This window comes from Homo sapiens, chromosome 21 (assembly GCF_000001405.40).
Source record: "Homo sapiens chromosome 21, GRCh38.p14 Primary Assembly".
NCBI classification, from domain to species: Eukaryota; Metazoa; Chordata; class Mammalia; order Primates; family Hominidae; genus Homo; species Homo sapiens.
In genome coordinates, this window is record NC_000021.9 from 46542266 (window position 1) to 46561571 (window position 19306).

The window sequence follows — 19306 nt, forward strand, 5'->3', positions numbered from 1 at the left end:
CAGTTCTTTGATATTTGGGAAGACGGTGATAATAGCTCACTGTGTTCCAGGCACAGGCTTCATACTTCATATGTGTTGAAGCATTTAACCCCATGGCAACCATGTGAAGTGGGCAGCTCTGAGGAAAATGGTAATGTTTGTGAATAACTTGATAATTAGGTTATCTAAGTAAGTTCTAGCAAGCATGTGTTAGATAGAAGCCTCATGGAAGCTTCCCAGAAATTCCTCGATGTCAGAAAGGCCTATGTGAACTCTTCTGCAGAAGTTGGCTCTGTAGGCCTGACCGTCATGTTAGATGTTGGAGGTTTTCCTTGCTGGCCTGAGGCAGAATCTGGCCTGGGAGGCCCTGGTGACATTCGAGTGGGGACACTGCCACGTGGTCTGAGGCTGCCCTCCTTGTAGCCACCCCACAGCTACTTCAGCTTTCCTGCCTCCCTGTGATGGCCCTTCTGGGGTTCACGGGCAGCTGTCAGGGCCCCTTTTGGTGACTTCTAGAGGCAGGACCCCATCTGTCAGTGCAGTCTCCCCCCTTCCAATGCGGCCCTGACTGTGTTAGGGGTTGCAGGCACTGCGAGAGGCTCAGCGTCCTGGCCCTTGTGCCTGCAACTCTGCCTCTTGCAGGCGGCTGTGCTAACCGGCTGTGGCTGCTCAGGTGCAGACCCTGTCTGTGGGTGGTGCTGGCAGCCCAGCCATCTCTAACCTGGAGCCTGGGGCCAGCTGGTGCCTGATCCCTGTGTGTGCACAGATGCTGGGTCCTCATTGAATAAGACTGAAGTATTTCAGCCTGTGTTTCTAGCTCTACTTGTTACTCATACAAATGGCATCATTTTTTTCCTGTAATTCTACTGAGAAATAGAACAGTCAGTCTTGCACGGTGCTTGAACCTGTCGTAAAATAATTCTCCTGAGAAATAGAACAGTCAGTCTTGCACGGTGCTTGAACCTGTCGTAAAACATTTTCACAGACAGCAATCATTGGGGTGTCACTTATTTACTCATGGGGAAAATACAGGTAAGTGTTTAAACTTCCCTGGAAAATCATGATGAGGTCATGATTCTGAATGAATCTTAGGAACATCTGTAGTTGTGCGCGTTTTATTTGTAAAATGTGGATTAGGACAGGACATGCGTGCACAGCGCTCCCGTAGGCGTGCACGCAGCACACCTCCTCCCCCGGGCGTGCACACAGCGCTCCACCAGACGTGCATGCAGCGCACCCCCCTCCCCCAGGTGTGTGCATGCAGCGCTCCCCCTCTGCCAGGCGCGCGTGCAAAGCGCTCCCCCAGGCACTCCCCCAGGTGGACCCCTGTTTCCCATGACCCTCCACAGCCCCCGGGCTGTACCCCTTGTTGTGGGACTGAGCCCCATGGTGAATCCTACGGGTGATTTGTTTGCAGCAGTTTTTCAGTCTGCCCTGTGTAGGCCTGTGTTCACTACTGTATCAAGTGTGTATGTGGTGCTTTGTGGCTTTTCGTGACCTTGCCCCATCTCTGCATGTGCTTGTAAGTGTTGTGTGGCACTGATGGCTGCCTGGATGGCCACCTGGAAGCACAGACAAGCACCACCTTCCACATCAGCCAAGCACCACCTTCCACATCAGCCAAGCATGGCTGCATTCTCTCTGCAAAGTCTTTTATCTGATTTGTGGCAAAAGGAAGCAAATATCTGGTTGTCTCTCTCTTTCTTTTTACTGTCTTTGGAGATGAGAATATATTAGAAAAAAACTCAAGAAGAGGCACAGAAGGACAGTTCCTAGCTGACCCAATGGGTTAATTGATTGCTAAGTAACCAAGTTTCATTTAATGGACCACAGCCCATTCATTTGTGCATCTCATGCTTTTGTGTGAGGCTGTTTCTGGAGGCCTTTCTGTGGCAGAGCTGAGGACTAGGCAGATGAGATCCCTTGTGGGAGGCGAAGGCAGCAGGTCACCGAGAGTTGGGTAGGGTGCACTTAAGTAAAAACAGAACTGGGTGATGGGGCTGTGGGAGGAGTCACACTGAGGCCTGAGACATCGTGCTCCATGAAAAGGCGCACATGTACAAATTGGCCCCCAAATGCGGAAAGGCCGAGAAATTGAAGAACGAGGCAGACAGGTCGTTTGTCAGTAGAGGGTGGTTCATTGGGGAACTTACAGATAGAATCCTGGTCTTGAGTGGCTGCAAGACAGGTAGATCTCTGCACCGCAACCCTCCAGACCCAGGGCCTTTGTCTTGGGGAAAAACATCTGCGCTCTGGAAAGAATGTGCACATGGCTGAGGGAGTGCCCTGGGCCTCATAGCCTGTAGTGTGTGCAGCAGCATCAAGGTTGTTTTGGAAGTTAGGCAGAACTTAAAATGAACAGGTATTTCTCCATGAAGATATCCTAGAGGCACTCCTTGACTTAAGATTAGTCTGGAGTCACATGGCAGATTTGCATTTAAAATAAGGTTACTAGAAAGGGGGCAGGCATGGGCAGAGTTCTGTCAGGCTCTGGAGCAGGAGATGGTGTCCCGGGCTCGTGTGTGGTGGTGATGGTCAGGAGCCAGGGCCAGCAGCACCCCATGTGGACCCGAGAGGGCAGTATGACAAGAGGAGGCACAGGGTTTATTTATCGTAGTACAGGAAATATTTTGTCAGCCGGGGCTTATTACATGAAGGATGTGTTGTACTTTCTGGTCACCTTACATTGATTATAAAAAATATTACATATAAAATATAAAGACTTACAGCTAGGTAGCATGTGTATCATCTGTGTCATAAAACTCCTTATAAGAAGGTGCTGTGTATATAACATCCTGTTTCCATAACCGCACATACAGCAGCAAGGAGATCTTTGTGAGTGATCCATTTAAACACGTTCTTGATAATTTTGAGTTTTTTTTCTCATTTTAGCTAATGTATGTGTTGTGAAGTTAGAAGGTACCCCTTATCTTTGTAAAACTGATGAAGTGGGAGAAATATGCGTCAGTTCCAGTGCAACTGGCACAGCGTACTATGGATTGCTTGGAATCACGAAGAATGTGTTTGAGGTTTGTCCCTTTTCCTGACTTTCATGTTGAAGTTAAGTTGCATGAGCACTCATGGGGTCCCAGGTGTGCTGGGTGCTGGGGGATTGCAGAGGCTGCGGGGATGGTCTCCTTCCACACAGGCGCTGCTGGGGCTGTTGGCACATGGCCTGCACACCCCTGTGTGTCCTCCCAGAGTGAGGGCAAGGCCAGTACCAGGACCAGGCATGCTGTGGAGGGCTGGGAGTCAGCGTGCTTCCCACAGTCCTGCATGGGAGGAGGGTGTGTGGGTGCGGCCTGGTGGCCAATAGGAAGGCACTCACCGTGGCCCCAGGGAAACCAGCCCTCTGCTATATTTGCATTGTTGTGATGTGAGTTGTTCAGGACAAGTCTAGGGAGGCCAGGCACCCAGAGCAGAGGTAAAAGGGATGCTTGTTTCCTGCCTCAGGAGGCCTGCCCAGGAGATTGAGCAGCCAGGCCACAGAAACTGGGCCTATGCAGGGCCAGCCTCCTTTTTCCCCCTGGCCAGCAGGCGCACACGTGGTGCTGAGCCTCCTGCCGCCTGCTGGGTCTTTTTGGCCAGTTGGTTGGTTGTCCACAGCCTGATCGTGCCCCTCTCCACTTTGTGCAGGCAGTTCCGGTCACCACAGGAGGAGCACCCATCTTTGACAGGCCATTCACCAGGACAGGCCTGCTGGGCTTCATCGGGCCTGTGAGTATGTCCTCCTGTACCAGCACTGGCAGTCAGAGAAGGTAGGGGGTGTGGCTAAGGGACACCTCGTTGCAGCCCCACCCTTGTCCTGGCCGTTCCTGACCTCCCATGTGGCCTTGGTCGGTGGCGCTGACCTCCCTGCCCATCACCCTACCTGTGTGCAGGGCCATCCACACCTCCGAGACTGGTGCACAGTCCTGCACACAGGCCTGAGTCGGGGGTCCCCGGGGTGGATGAGGATGTTTTGCTTTTTATATGGAGTGGCAGGTTTGTGAGTATTCATTATATCATTCTTTACCATTTTGGATGTCTAAACTATTCAAAAATAAATGCTTCTATTTGTAACATCTTGGCCCAGTGTTTCTCTCAACTGGGCAATTTTGCCCCTTCCCTCCCAGGGGACTTCTGGCAACTTTTGAAGACATTTTTGCTTGTCACAACTCAAGGGAGGGGAGTGCTCCTGGCATCTAGTGAGTACCTAGAGGCCAGAGATGCTGCTCAGTGTCCAACCTAAGCACAGGACAGCACCTGCGATGGTATTGTCAGCCCAGAAGGTCCCTGGTGCCGGGTTTGGGACCCCTGCCCTTAGCTCAGCAGTTTTCAGTCCTTCACAAACTCCACCCACAACTCGTTTCCCACTTGTGAGCCTTTCCCATGCTGACGCTGCCCCAGCAGCCCCACTTTCTTTCACATAGCCTGCCCCTTTCCCATGTTGCCTCCCTTCCTGATGCTGCCCCACCAGCCCCCATTCCTTCCACACAGCCTGCCCCTGTTCCAGGCCTAGCTTGTCACAGGGCCTGCGTTGCAGATTGGGTCTGTGGGGCATTGACCCGTTTGCAAGGCGCTAGAGGCTCCTGTGCTGTTGGCCCCTTCTTGGGGGGCCTGACCATGGTCCTGGCGCATCCAGCTTCTGCCCGTGTGGGTGGAGTCTTGACGCACACCCTTTCCCTCAGGACAACCTGGTCTTCATCGTGGGCAAACTGGACGGGCTGATGGTCACTGGAGTTCGCAGACACAATGCAGATGACGTTGTGGCCACCGCACTGGCCGTGGAGCCCATGAAGTTTGTCTACAGAGGCAGGTGATGCGCTGCGGACCCCCACGCCGGGAGTAGATTCCTTCATTTGCAGCTCGGGAAGTCTTTGTGCAGTAGATGGAAAGCCCAGCAAACTTGAATTCACAAAGCCTAAAAATTGTTGTACATCAGAAAACTCCTAAAGTAAAAGGAAAATATTTGCAGCAATGATACCAGAGTTAATATCCTTACTGTCCAAAGAGTTCCTTGGATTCCTTAAGAAAATAAGGTTTTGATGTAAAATTTGGGGCAAAGGCTCAAGGGGACAAATCAGGGAGGGAAGAATTGAGTAAAGCAAAGGAGAAATGGGTCTAAGTTCCTAATAACCTTGGAATGTGAATTAAAACAGAAAAGTGCCATTTTCTCTGCGAGACACATGACACCCTCCATTGCCTCTGGAATAAAAATCAACTCAACTTTTCTACATGTGTAAAGCAAGGACCTTAGAGATTCTCTTGAGCAAATAATAGACCTCTGGGCCTATGCCCCTGGGCACAGGGGCCAGGAAGAGAATTTTGCTTCTTCTACTCCCAAGCTCCTTGTCTGGGAGGAAGCTCTTCCCCTAACTGGTCCACTCAACCAGCTGCCTTTTTAAATTTTATTTTTCTCAAGGGGGTGCCTTTTTTTTTTTTTTTTTTTTTTTTTTAAAGATAGGGTCTCACTCTGTTGCCCATCCAGGCTGGAGTGCAGTAGTGTGACCATAACTCACTGGAGCCTCTACCTCCTGGGCTTCAAGCAGTCCTCTTACCGCACCTCCTGAGCAGCTGGGACCACAGACATGCACCCCACGCCTGGCTAATTTTTTAATTTTTTTGTAGAGATAGGGTCTCACTATGTTGCTCAAGCTGCTCTCGAACTCCTGGGCTCAAGCAATCCTCCCTCCTTGGCCTCCCAAACTGCTGGGATTACAGGTGTCAGCCAATGTGCCTGGCCAAGGATGTGCCTTTTGTTACTCAAACTAAGGTACTTGGGAGCCAGGTCAGACCCTGCCTTTGAGTAGCCCTTAAAGCAATCGTGAGGGGATTCTGCAAAGTGGTGTGTCATCATGGTTAGTCTTGAGGAAAAAGCCCAGAGGATGGACAACAGAGAAGGTGGGAGATTGCTCAGGGGGCTGGGAAGGGCAGGCTGTGCTCATGCATGTGTGCGTGTGTGTGTGTGTGTGTGTGTGTGTGTTTGTGTGCGCCTGCGTGCAGGGGGAGGGTGGCACAGCCAGGGTCATGACCCCCCTCACAGCAGAAATGGGGGACACATTGGGCAGGTGTCCTTAGGGATAACATCAAGGTAGCCCAAACCCTGCTTTGAGGTGGAGCAGGGAGACCACCCCCTCGCAGGGCCACCTGTACCTGATGGTGACTGCGTCTGCAGGCAGGATAGCCTCCCTGTCCCCACTAGGGAAGAGCTGAGGAATACAGGAGCTTGGAAGTGGAACCACAACCAATTGAGAGTATATGTGCCATTGGAAGAAGAGCAATAGAAGATTTGCAACATGAACTAAGATCAAGAAATGCTAACAAAGTAATTGTTCAAAGAACACAGTAGATGGAATACATAAAATGGATACAGCTAGAGAACAAGTAGAGAAGGTGGAAAGTCAGATTAGGGAACTACTCTGGAAGTAAAATAGGAACTTTAAAGGAACTATTAAGAGAGATGGGAGAGAATAAGGGCTGGTGTCCAGATAGCAGACTCAAGGAGAAGGGATATGTTTAGTGGTGGTTAGGGATTGTCTGAGGAAGCAGGTGGTTGGGGTTCTCTGGACTGGGAAGTGGTCCACAGAGGGCCCCATGGCATGTTGAGCTTATCTGTATTCTCACCATGGACCACACAAAAGCCAAGCAAAACACATCAGACTTCCCCACAGTGGAACTGGCACAAGATAACAGTGCACCCAATTTATCCAAATTGTCACTTTATTGTGCAGTTGTAATAAAAAATATTTTTAAGCATGTAAGTTTCAGAAGTTTTAACACACAGAGGTCCGTACTGAAAACAGTTTTGGTCAAGATACTAAGAGAAATAAATTCAAGATGTGCTATAAGATGTATGAGAGTAAGGAGAACTCAGTACTAGGTGAGGTCTGTTGTGTAAATTGTGTGTGTGTGTGTGTACACACACACCAGTCAAGTCAAAGGAAAGGACAAGAGACGGTATATCCATAATGTCCCAGAGTCAGAATGGTAGACATCCTAACATGATGGGTTTGGTGGGGAGACCATCTTCTTACTTTATGAAAGAAAAGACAAAGATATCAACTCAAAGTCTAAAAGAAGGAAAAGGCAACACAGAAAAAAGGAGGACATGTTGAAATTTTTAAGATAGTAAAAACACGTCTAAATATACTAATCACTATAAATGTCAATAGACTAACTCTAGTAAAATAGAGATGCGATCTGTTGGATTAAAAAAATATAATAAATAGAACTTTTAGACAAAGATTTGTGCAGAAGGAAATTTACATCAGATTAAGGAATTTTTTCTTGTAAAAATGTGTGTCTTTGGAGCTGTTTTGCTTTGTCCTGAAGTCCTCTGTTTTTTGTGACTTGAGACACATTTCAACCATCCTCGAGGAGATTAGAATGATGAGTTACTTTTTGAATGTGCAGCAGGTAGCCCCATTTGATAGACTGCATTTTAAATACTAGGACAGTCTGCCTCTTCCATCGTGAGGGTGAGAATGCATCTGTGTCTTGTTTGGCCTCTTGCCGTGTGGCCATTTCCATGTCTCATCCCGCAGGATCGCTGTGTTCTCTGTGACCGTGCTGCACGACGACCGGATTGTCCTGGTGGCTGAGCAGCGGCCGGATGCCTCGGAGGAGGACAGCTTCCAGTGGATGAGCCGTGTGCTGCAGGTGGGCGCCCCGGCACGGCCTATGGTTCGGTGAATCTCCCAAGCTGGCACCCCCACTCCACTCCAAGTGCCAAGTGGTTGGCTTGTCCCGCCCGGTCCTCCCTGGCTCCAGCTTTGTTTATCTGTATTTTTCATTGCAAATTGACAAATTACAGCTGTATGTATTTACGGGATACAAAGTGATGTTATAATTTATGAATACAATATAGAATAATTAATATATCCATCACCTCAATATTTATTTTTTTCTGATGAGAACATTTGAAATGCACTCTCACAGTGATTTTGAAATGTACATTATTATATTCACCAGTCTGTGCAATATATCTCAAAGAAAAAACTTTCCTCCTCCTGTCTAATTGAGGCTTTGTGCCCTTTCACCATCATCTCCTCATTGCCCCATCCCTCAGCCTCTGATCACAGATTTGTGGACATGTGTACACAAATACAGTGTGTGTGTTTCCCCTTTCTGAGTTAAATGGTAGAAAACTGCACACACTTCTCTTCATCTTGTTTCCTCATTTAACAAAGTGTCCAGAGGGCATTCCATTTCCTGGCCTGGGGAACAGGTCCACAGAGGGGATGTTCCTGTCCCCCACCCAGCATCTCCCCAGCCTCAAGTTGGGGGCCTGTGCCAAACAGGGTCCTTCCCTTTCAGGCCATTGATAGCATCCACCAGGTGGGCGTGTACTGTCTGGCCCTGGTTCCTGCCAACACCTTGCCCAAGGCTCCTCTCGGAGGGATTCACATTTCTGAAACCAAACAGCGCTTTCTGGAAGGGACGCTGCACCCGTGTAATGTGCTGATGTGCCCTCACACCTGTGTTACCAACCTCCCCAAACCTCGTCAGAAACAACCAGGTTAGTTGAACCTAACAACAGGATGCTCTCTAGTCTAACAGTGGTAACAGCGGTGCTTGTGGTTAGGGTGCGGCCCTGCTAGACCTCCAGTGCCAACTGCCCACGTCTTTGGGGCTGGGGTCAAGAGCCAGAGCGAGTGTGCACCCCAGAATGGTGCCACCTCCCGCCTTCCTGGAACCAGCCACGCATGGGGGAACTTAACCACATCACCTGCATGGTGGTTTCCACCTGCCTGTTAGGAACCAATTTTAATGATAAACTCAAGGATGGCATCTTAGCTTTGCATGGCTAGGAGATGGCTCCCTAGGGCTAGAAATGCTGCCCAGGATCATCCTGGAGCTGGACGAGCTGGACACATCACATCACCCAGTGTCTGTGTGGCCTCGGAAATCTCTCAGCAAACGGCCAACTTGCCTTCCCTCATTTTATACATTTAAAAGCTAATTTTAGAGACTGGTTTAACTTTAATGCAATTTTTCATTTCTTTGGTCCTGTTGATTTTTAGTACATGCCAAAGTTTTTTTTTATTAATTATTGAACACATATCACTAAATACATTTCATCAGGAAGATTTAATTTCCTGATTTATACATAAAGTACAGTAAAACAAAATATGTTAAGAATTTTGCTGTGACTGAGGCCAAATCGTATCCTCTGAGATGCGTCGTGTAGTAAACTTCTCAATAAGGCGTAGTTTATGTTCAAGAGAGAAATTCTCTTTGTCACTTAGCATAAACCTTGTAGCTAGCTTTCTGAATATTTGTATCTCAGTAGAAGAGTTAAATGCCTCATTCAAGTATGTTTTCAAAATAAAAATTGTAAATAAAATCACGTGATGTTTATATATGAGAAGTCACCAGCTTTTCATTCAGAGTTCCCCCGTTTCTAGAGGTTGGACCAGCCTCAATGATCGTGGGGAACCTGGTTGCTGGGAAGAGAATCGCTCAGGCTTCCGGGAGAGAGCTCGCCCACCTGGAGGACAGCGACCAGGCACGGAAGGTGACAGGCCAGTTCCGGGGACGGGTGGACGGGTGTCTGTGCCCCGGAGGCGCCAGTGAGCAAGTCGCCCTCTCGTGCAGTTCCTGTTCCTGGCTGACGTGCTGCAGTGGCGTGCCCACACCACTCCTGACCACCCGCTGTTCTTGCTGCTGAACGCCAAGGTGAGGCAGTGTCACGCCCACGGGGCTTGGAAACACCTGTGGGCCGGTGGAGCCCTTTGCTTGTCTAGTTCATGGTGCCAGTGTCCTGGTTGTTCTCATGTTTAGAGAACAGGGTGCCTGTGGACTCAGCCCCCGTCCTGGTTGTTCTCATGCGTAGAGAGCAGGGTGCCTGTGGACTCAGCCCCCTTGTCTGGTGCGGTTCTCGCTGCCTGCCCTTTCCTTTCTTGTTTTCCACACATTTCACACAATAGTATTTCTATTGATTTTGTGTTTAGCAGGAAAATTTTTATCAGCTCAAGTTTTTAAAATTAAAAACAGTATACATGTAAATATTCCTAAGTTTGTGAGCTAAAAGGAAATGTTTATTTTGTAAAAAATTAGCCATTTAGAATTTCTACATTTGGTTACAGCTTTTAAATGACAAATGTTGCTTCCTGCCCTGCTCCTGCTGCTGATTTGGAAATTCTCATGTGTTTCAAGTTCCTGTTGTGTGCATTCCACTGTGCTAGGAACATTCAGGATGTCAAGAAGGAGAAGCTGTAATCTTCATATTCAGGTTGTGGGCAGGAATGCGAAATGCGGAAACACAGAAAGTTAAATAACTTAAAACCCTGCAAGGCTTCCTGTCCCACGCACCATACAAGCTGTAAGAACTCTTAAGCTTTGGTGTCGTAAAGAGTAGGTCACTGTGGCTTAGAATATGCTCTTCTAGCTCTTGGTGCTGCTCATTCGAATTAAAAAAATACTTAATGATGCCTACAATGTGCACAGTGCACAGTAATAAGATTAAAAGGACCCCTACTCTCAGGAGGCTTAAAATCAGTCTTTCCTGCTAGAAAACAAGTTCCGTAGGAGAGAGACTTTGTTTTTCTGGTGTATTGGAAGCATCTAGAACCATGCCCAGTAAACATTTATTTTATGATTGATTGAGTTCTAAAGCCTACAAACCAGCCAGTGATTTATCATTGACCAAGGTAAAATCAGCTTATGGTGTGAACCTCAGTATCAATACAGTGGAGTGATGTAACCTGGAGTGCTGGGGAGGGGGCTTTGAATGGAACTGGGTAGCAGGGGCTATGAAGAATGATGCCCAGTGGCTCAAGGCAGGAAAGGAGGCCAGTGTGGTGGGGGCCAGGTGGTCCCAGGTAGGGGATGCAGATAAGGCTGGGGGTCGCTGGGTTTTCCCTAAGGATGCAGTGGGATCCCAGACCTTGCGGGCTTTGAGTCCCAGTCCAGATCTCAGGTTCTGTCCTGATGGGGCCCTGACTCATATGGACTGGCAAAGCTTCCGGGATTTGGAATCTCAGGATCTGCCCAGCCCTTGTGCCTGGACACAGCACATAAGTGCGTCCACTGGTCTCTCTCTTCCACTGCCTTCTGTCAGTAGAAGCCACCAATCGAGAAACAGGGAGTTTTGATGTTACACTGGTCTGCTCTGGAGTTTTATATTTATTAGACTGAATTGCACTTTTTATCTTCTTAAGAAGGACTAAAAAAGCTGCGAGGCCTGGCAGGGGATCAGGGAGGATGAGTGTCCTGAGCAGAGAGGTAGGGTTACCAGGTATTTCTGTTTGCCTTGAACTGGTCACATAGCCCCAGTGCCCCTCAGCAGAGAGACAGGGTGAATGAAGGAGCTGGTGTAGTCAGTCCTAGAGGAGACACACAGATGCCTCTGAGAAAGCCGGTTGCAGATGACACACGCCCAGGCTCAGTGCAGGTGACCTGTGGGCATGGAAAGTAGTACAATTCAGGGATGTTTGCTTATCGCTTATTATGTATTTATAATGGTGTCGTATGGAATATTTTATTGAAAAGGCCAGAAAGGTCTTCTTTACCCACGTGTTTCTGGCTCTGCCCTGGGTGAATGGAGTGCCCGCATCTCTCCCTCTTAGCTGGGACCACACAGGAGATACTTGCATGCCTGTCCCTTCACTGCTAGTGAGAGAGTACAGATGGTGAGAAAAGACACCAGTCGTGGACCATGTGCGGTGGCTTATGCCTGTAATCCCAGCACTTTGAGAGGCTGAGGCGGGCAGATCACTTGAGGTCAGGAGTTCGAGACCAGCCTGGCCAACATGGTGAAACCCCATCTCTACCAAAAAAAAGACACCAGCCGTACGTCTAGGACTGACACATTGTCATTATCATGGACGCTAATCACAAGGTGTCGTGTGCAGTGGCGTGCAGGTGGTGTGCACGCAGATCTGCGAACAGCCCACCTGCACGCACCAGCATACAGATGAGCTCAAAGATCGCTTTCCTAGGGCACCGTCACAAGCACTGCAACCTGTGTCCAGCTGCACAAAAGGGCTGAGAGAGTGGCCGCGGCTCTGATGGAGAAGGGAAGACTGAGTGTTGGGGACCATGTGGCTCTGGTCTACCCACCAGGTGGGCTCACTGTGGGGCTGTCCACCTGCAGCTCTTTGTAAGCAGCCTCCTATCCTAAGCAGCCCCCTAGACACTCCCTCCCCGAAGCATCTTCCAAAACTAAGCTCAGCCCCTCCTCTCTGCATGTGTCTGCCTCCTCAGCTCAGCTACCCCTGTGGAAACCCAGGAGTCACCCATGCCCCCCCAGCACCACCTCCCCTCCTCTCTCGCAGGAACAGTGAACAGAGGCTGGTGGGAGCCTCTTGCGGCCGGCCTCCTCACAGCCAGTCCTTGTCTCCACAGGGGTGGACCTCATTGCCGCGTTCTATGGCTGCTTGTACTGTGGCTGCGTGCCTGTCACCGTGCGGCCCCCGCACCCTCAGAACCTCGGCACCACACTGCCCACCGTCAAGATGATCGTGGAGGTGCGCCTACCTGGCCCGCGGGTCAGAGTCTGTGAGTGGGAGGCTGCAAGGCTGCCCTCCGCTGCCCCCTTTTCTGGGCAGCTTGAGAGGCCCCGCCCACCCACCCTTGGCCCCTCGCCATGCAGGTCAGCAAGTCTGCATGCGTCCTCACCACGCAGGCTGTCACACGGCTGCTCAGGTCCAAGGAGGCTGCTGCTGCCGTGGACATCAGGACCTGGCCCACCATCCTAGACACAGGTGCGTGTCCTCGCACTGCCCAGGACCAGTCCCTTTTCCTTTCTTTGTTGTAGGTGTGGTGTGGCCTGGCTGCCGTCCAAAAACACACGTGAGGCAAGAGCAGTCCTGGCAGGAGCCTGGCTGACAGCAGGGGGTGCCCCGGGCCCTGGTGGGGAGTAGGGGTCCCTGTCCCATGTGTAAACCCACGCTCCACTCAGCCCACAGCAGCCGCACCCAGTCCCAAGTGGTGTGGAGCACAGCCTTGCCCCTCTCACCCGCCTCCTACTGGCATGGGGGCTGGCAGCTCTCTGAGGCTTTCTGCAAACGCTTTGAGGACACAGCTCCCACCGCATGCCGCCACTCCAGCATCCCTGTCCCCATCATTGGTGAATGCTGTCATGCCCCATGAAATGCTGAGGGCCAACAGGGTGAGGGTCAGAAACCCCCCTGGCTCCCCTCTGCCGTGGACCTGTCTCAGCCTGGGCTGGATGGGGCTGGGCCAGGGCAGCTGGTGTAGGGGAGGGCAGGCTCAGAGCCAAACAGCTGGCCAGGGCCCCAAAGCCTCACGGGCTTGCCTCAAGGGGAGCGGTGCCTGCCCTGCTGAGCCTGTGTCCAGTTGCACCCAGGGAGGCAGTGGTGTCTGGCTCATGGGGCCACGAGAACTTGATGAAGCACGCAGAACCCAGAGCCCGTCCACAGCTATTCTTGCTGTGGTCGGGACTCGGCTCATCTGGGCTTTGCCATAGGCTCTGTGACTTTTGGCAAATCCCTAGTCCTCTAATCTTTCCTACTGGTCAGTGACGTGATGCCTCCCCTCTTCGCCCTGCCTCGTCCCCCATCCCCACAGGCTCAGTGTGGTCTTGGTGGGACCGGGTAGCGTTTCCATGAAGAATGAAATACGCTTTCCTGAGCACGCACAGCCTGCATCGTCACGGCCCCACTCCCGTCTGAGCTCACTCTCTGCAGGACTCCCAAGGACAAATCATGTGTCGCCTCTTGCCTGTGAAAGCCCAGAGCGTTCAGAATACATGTGGGAACACTAATGTTGCTGGTGTCTCCTGTTTAACAGATGACATCCCAAAAAAGAAGATAGCAAGCGTTTTCAGGCCCCCCTCCCCCGATGTCCTCGCATACTTGGACTTCAGCGTGTCAACCACTGGGATATTAGCGGGAGTGAAGGTAGGTCCTCTGAAATCTTGTTTGCTTCAGCCCCTAGAAATCAGGAGGAGTGGACAGAAAGGATGTCAGATGCAGATTTAAACTGACAGGTCCTTCTTATGCAAAGCACAAAGCAACAATTTTGCTTCTTAAGATTTGTGTTAAATACCAATAAATGCTAAGATGTGATTAGCCTGAGAGTAATGCGTTTTCTGATGCATTATGGTTATGTCTAAACTTTCTGATTTATGACTGTCTAGCTTACAGGAACTGGTGGCTTTGAAGAATCTCTTACCTTGCTGGGAGTCAATAGCTCAATTAAAATTTTTCAGGCGGGGCGTGGTGGCTCACGCCTGTAATCCCAGCACTTCGGGAGGCCGAGGCGGGTGGATCACAAGATCAAGAGATGGAGACCATCCTGGCCAACGTGGTGAAACCCCGTCTCTACTAAAAATACAAAAAATTAGCTGGGCATGGTGGCAGGTGCCTCTAATCCCAGATACTCAGGAGGCTGAGGCAGGAGAATTGCTTGAACCCGGGAGGCAGAGGTTGCAGTGAGCCGAGATTGTGCCATTGCACTCCAGCCTGGGCGACAGAGCAAGACTCTGCCTCAAAAAAAAAAAAAAGAAAAAAATTTTAAAAATTCATTACCCTGAAATTTTGTTTCAAAGATTTTTAGTGTACCATTTCTTGGGTATTATTTAGGTTATATGGGGATTTGAGCCAACCGTCTTTTAAGGAAATAAATATGATGTTTGGTAGTTCGGAGCTATGGTCTAGCCATGTGAACAGCGGACACTGCCATCCACCCTCTCCCCTCCTGAATTTCATTTCACTTTTTTTTTTTGAACTTTATTTTACTCTTAAGATGTCGCACGCGGCCACAAGCGCCTTATGCCGCTCCATAAAGCTGCAGTGTGAGCTGTACCCCTCGCGGCAGATCGCCATCTGCCTCGACCCCTACTGTGGCCTTGGTTTTGCCCTGTGGTGTCTGTGCAGGTGAGTGCAGGGCCCCTGCTGCCTGCCAGGTGGGAGCAGCTCGTGTGGCTCTTAGGAACCTTGGCCTTCTAAGGCACCTTTTCTGGGTGCTCAGGAAGCCGATGAGATGTGTGTGAGTGGGTTTGTTTGGGGATGAAGTGGGTTGGAGTCTGAGTCTGAAATTGAGTGAAAATACATTTTTCATTAAATACACTGTCCGTTATCAGTACTTGGGAAGAATCTGCTTGATTCCTTCAAACACTAGAAAGTGGCGATCCGTCTCTAGAAGTGAATGCCTCTGGAGTGGTGTCCCCGGATCCTCTCCAAGTGTTCGGAGCAGAGCTCAGAACCCCGTGCCTGCCATCCCCCAACCTTCACCCTGTGGCATGTTTTCCACCAAACCCCCCCACTTGGCGTCAGAACAGAAATCATGCCCCTGTTGTGGCTGGAAAAGAAGTGTTCTTGAGGAAGGGAAGAGTGGAGTGCCCAGGGTGCTGGGTGGGCGGGCGGAGCCTCACGAGCCTTCCCTCTCGCAGTGTCTACTCGGGACACCAATCAGTGCTGGTGCCCCCGCTGGAGCTGGAGAGCAACGTGTCCCTGTGGCTGTCGGCCGTCAGCCAGTACAAGGCCCGCGTCACCTTCTGCTCCTACTCTGTGATGGAGATGTGCACCAAGGGCCTAGGCGCACAGACGGGTGTCCTCAGGGTGAGTGCCCAGACCCGGGCTTCTGAGTGTGCTGCAGACCACAGCCCTGGGAAGTTTAAAAACAACAAAACAAAACAAGACTCCCAAGGCCCCTCCCTGCAGTTGGAGGAAGTAGAGAAAACCCTTTCCCACTAGGGGCCCTATGTACACATCTGTCCTCCCACGGCCCACCTGTCTCTGCAGCTCCACACCCCGCAGGAGAGGAGGGTGGGGGGTAGGGCAGGGTCCCTGCGAGATAGCGGGGTGGAAGTCTGGCCGCGTGGGAGGGCAGGTGTGGGATGCAGGTCAGATGGGAATCGTTTAGCGCATCCACACGTAGGATTCTGTGGAACAGACACAGCCTGCGGAGAGGAGGTTGGTGTCCAGCTCCACCTCTGTGTGCCCACCCGGAGATTTCCCAAAACAGTGCCCAGGGCCCTGGCAACTCACTGAGCTGTGGCCGTGGCCTGACCGCTCACCCCTCCCGCAGATGAAGGGGGTGAACCTGTCATGTGTGCGCACGTGCATGGTGGTCGCCGAGGAGCGGCCCAGGATTGCGCTGACCCAGTCCTTCTCCAAGCTCTTCAAGGACCTGGGCCTGCCGGCCCGCGCCGTAAGCACCACGTTCGGGTGCAGGGTCAACGTGGCCATCTGCCTCCAGGTGAGGTGCCTGGGGCTGCGGTTCTCGAAAGCTGGCTGTTGGCAGCATGGAGACCCAGTTTCCCAGTTGTTAATGTGCCGTTTTGTAGCCGCCTGATCTATTTCTCCTTCTCTGGGCCTTTGATATCTCATTTCCATGTAACATTTTAGCTTCAAGGGTTTTATTTTTAAAGATGTTCTATTCTAGTTGGAGAAAGGCTTATTTGGAAAAAAAACACATTGTTTTTGAACAGTGACTAATAACTGTAAGACTCTCTAAGTTAGATATAAAACACAGCTAAGTTCTTAAAGCAAGATTGAACTTACTGTTTTAAGATATCTAGCAATATTAAATTGAAACATTAATAAATGTGGTAATTTGTGTTGACTCAAATTCATTTCTGAAACCATGAAATGTCTTATTAAAAGGAAGCACCAAGTTTCAGGCCAGGAGTGGTGGCTCATGCCTATAATCCCAGCACTTTGGGAGGCTGAGGCAGGCGGATTACCTGAGGTCAGGAATTCGAGACCAGCCTGGACAATATGATGAGACCCCGTCTCTACTAAAAATACAAAAATTAGCTGGCTGGTGGTGCGCGCCTGTTGTCCCGGCTACTTGGGAGGTTGAGGCACAAGAATCGCTTGAACCTGGCAAGAGGAGGTTGCAGCGAGCCAAGATCTCACCACTGCACTCCAGCCTGGGTGACAGAGCGAGACCCTGTCTCAAAAAAAAAAAAAAAAAAAAAAAAAAAACATAGGTAGCACCAAGTTTCAGAGATTGAAGAGCTCACGGCAGTTCTGTTTATTGCTTCCTCAGATAGCTACAGCTGTTGCCCAGATTTTGTACTAGTATCTCAATTTCATTTCTTTCTAAAAACATCTTAAAACCAAATGGCTTTTTAGATAACCCTACATATTGAACGCCTTATTCACCCACATAGTACAAGAATAGCTGGAAGGAAATGGCACCTGTCCGTGCCAGAGCAGGGCTGAGTGCAGGTCTGTCTCTGTTTCCAAAGTGTTTGCTTGGCCTTGTGCCTCCCCATCACAGTGGCAGTGCACGCAGGGCAGGGCGGGGGCTCTGCTCACACCCTCTTCACCACAAAAAGACCCCTGACCACTCAAGCCTCAGACCCTTGTCACGCAGCAGAGGAGATCGGGCGGGAGCCTTTTGTGAGCTCGCTTCCTGTGTAGGCTGTGGCTGAGCGTGGGTGCCGGCCTTTGTGTTAGCGGCTCTGCGTCTGCAAGCCTGGGGCCTCCTTGCTAGACGTCGGAAGGGTATGGATGCCACACATGATTGCAGAAATGATGTTAATGGGATGTTCACGTTTGCTCTTTAAGATACAGAGGTGGGTTTTGCTCTCTCTTTCCCTGTGTTTCTCATGTGGCTGCTGCTTCTGTGTGTGTTTCCTGTGGCTGTCTCCTCCCTGTCTCACTCTGCTGCCTCCTTGGCCTCTGTCAGCCCAACAGGCTGGGAAAGCTGGCTGAGCAGGTATGACCTTGACCTTGACCTTGTTGGTGCCTCTGTGCTTCCCCCTCCCATGAGTTCATGTGACTTTCTCGTGAATTCTAGACAAACATGTTTCTTTTGCTGTCTTACTTTGTTCACAGTGGATATTACTTGACATATTACAAAAGCTCCCTTGTAACCAAATTTAAAAGTAAAACTATTTTCAAAAAATGTTAATGCTCATAGCATTGCCTTGGGAGGAAGGGCTGTGTTTAGTTCCAGTGCAGAGGTGTTTAATTCCAGTGCAGACACAGGTTATGTTGTCTGGGATCTTTAAGGGTGATGTTGATCAGAGTACTCATTTAATTGATGTTCCTTATTGAATAAAATGACACATAATGTCCTTTAGTCGGGATTAATGTTAACTGTAAGATTCAGAAAGGAAGAGAGTAGAAAGGTGAAGGCTGCCATCCATCTCACCTGAGTGAGTCTCGGCTGCGAGCAGTCCCCGGTAGAATTAGGCTGGTTGGTGAGAGGCAAGGCCCTGCCTGACAGCATGGTGGAAATGCCCCTCAAATCCTAATGGTGTTTTCATCACAGCAAGAGACCAGTGGGAATAGAAAGTTGTTAGAACTGAAATGTAAAGTGGCATGATTTGGTGTTTTCAGAGTCATTGAGTGTTTCGCTCAATATTATCAAGCTCTGTGGATGTTTGGATGGAAAGCATCAGACTGCCTGGGGGACCTTGAACCCCTAGGCGGACTCACTGCAGGGAGCAGAGCTGCTACCTTCTTGGGTGTCCCCGGGGGCCAGGGAGGAGCTGCCATGCAGCTGTACCTGTAGAAACAAGATGTTAAGTGAGGCCCCTGAACAGAAGTTCCTCTGCTGCTCTCCTTCCAGGGCACAGCTGGCCCGGACCCCACAACCGTCTACGTGGACATGCGGGCACTGCGCCATGACAGGTAATGCTCCCAGCCTGCCTGGGCCCCATGGATACCCAGTGGCAAAGTGATGCAAACCAGGTCTGCACTGACTATGCACCCCCGGGACCCAGGCATTAGAGGACGGCGGGGCCAAGTCAGGCCTACCGGGACACCTGGATGGGCACATGAGAGGACAGCTGGCTACATTGGGCCATCTGCACCAAGAGGAAGAGGAGAGCTGTGTGCCCCACTCCGGGCGTGCCTCCCAGGGGAGCTCAGTGTCTATCTCTGTGCGCCCGTGTCCCCAGGGCTGCAGTTAACATCCCTTTATCTGTCACACAACCAGGAAGAATAAGAGTGGCCCCTGTGACATTTGGTTCTTTAGAGGGACAGGGACAGAGAGAAGACAAGTAACCCATCTACTGGCAAGAACGTTTCTTACCCGATGACCCATGTGACATTTGGTTTTTAGAGGGATAGGGACAGATAGAAGACAAGTTATCCATCTACTGGCAAGAACGTTTCTTACCTGATGCTGTCATAGGATCTGACTTAGTTTCATCTTGATGAACGATGGTGGTGCATACAGTGTGTGCTTGCTGGTCTGTGGTCAGATGTGTATCAGGGCCCCTCCCAGCTTTGAAGCTCAGATCCCAGTCCTGGATTCTCAAGTATGGCCACACTGTAGCTTGATGTAAACACTAGGTTTAGCTTACTGGGTGCCAGGGGCTTGCTGGGTTCAGGGAGGACCTAAACGAAATGTAGAGTGAGCTGCTGTGAGCACATGGGGTGGGTGGCGAGTGCATGCGGGTGGCGGCACTTGGGAC

The 19306-nt window shown here is 50.5% G+C and overlaps 1 protein-coding gene across 30 annotated transcripts in view; it reads left to right on the forward strand.

Annotated features, from left to right (window-relative positions):
* Positions 1 to 19306, forward strand: part of DIP2A (disco interacting protein 2 homolog A) — a 124981-nt gene that overhangs the window by 83375 nt on the left and 22300 nt on the right. For 12 of the 30 annotated variants that reach the window (XR_007067786.1, XR_007067785.1, XR_007067784.1 and 9 more), the window contains 15 exons: positions 2872 to 3008; positions 3616 to 3696; positions 4650 to 4777; positions 7506 to 7620; positions 8278 to 8479; positions 9369 to 9478; positions 9559 to 9639; positions 11904 to 12027; positions 12310 to 12431; positions 12557 to 12668; positions 13717 to 13826; positions 14674 to 14804; positions 15320 to 15488; positions 15958 to 16128; positions 18457 to 18518. Coding sequence is in view for 27 of the 30 variants with exons in the window: in NM_001353943.2 (NP_001340872.1) it covers positions 2872 to 3008; positions 3616 to 3696; positions 4650 to 4777; positions 7506 to 7620; positions 8278 to 8479; positions 9369 to 9478; positions 9559 to 9639; positions 11904 to 12027; positions 12310 to 12431; positions 12557 to 12668; positions 13717 to 13826; positions 14674 to 14804; positions 15320 to 15488; positions 15958 to 16128; positions 18457 to 18518 (1855 nt within the window). In the remaining 3 variants the exon portion in view is untranslated. Of the gene's footprint in view, positions 1 to 2871; positions 3009 to 3615; positions 4042 to 4649; positions 4943 to 7505; positions 7842 to 8277; positions 8480 to 9368; positions 9479 to 9558; positions 9640 to 11903; positions 12028 to 12309; positions 12432 to 12556; positions 12669 to 13716; positions 13827 to 14137; positions 14574 to 14673; positions 14805 to 15319; positions 15489 to 15957; positions 16129 to 17568; positions 17599 to 18456; positions 18519 to 19306 lie in introns of those variants that run through there. The other 18 variants (NM_001410751.1, XM_047440707.1, XM_047440710.1 and 15 more) reach the window with 6 other exon arrangements.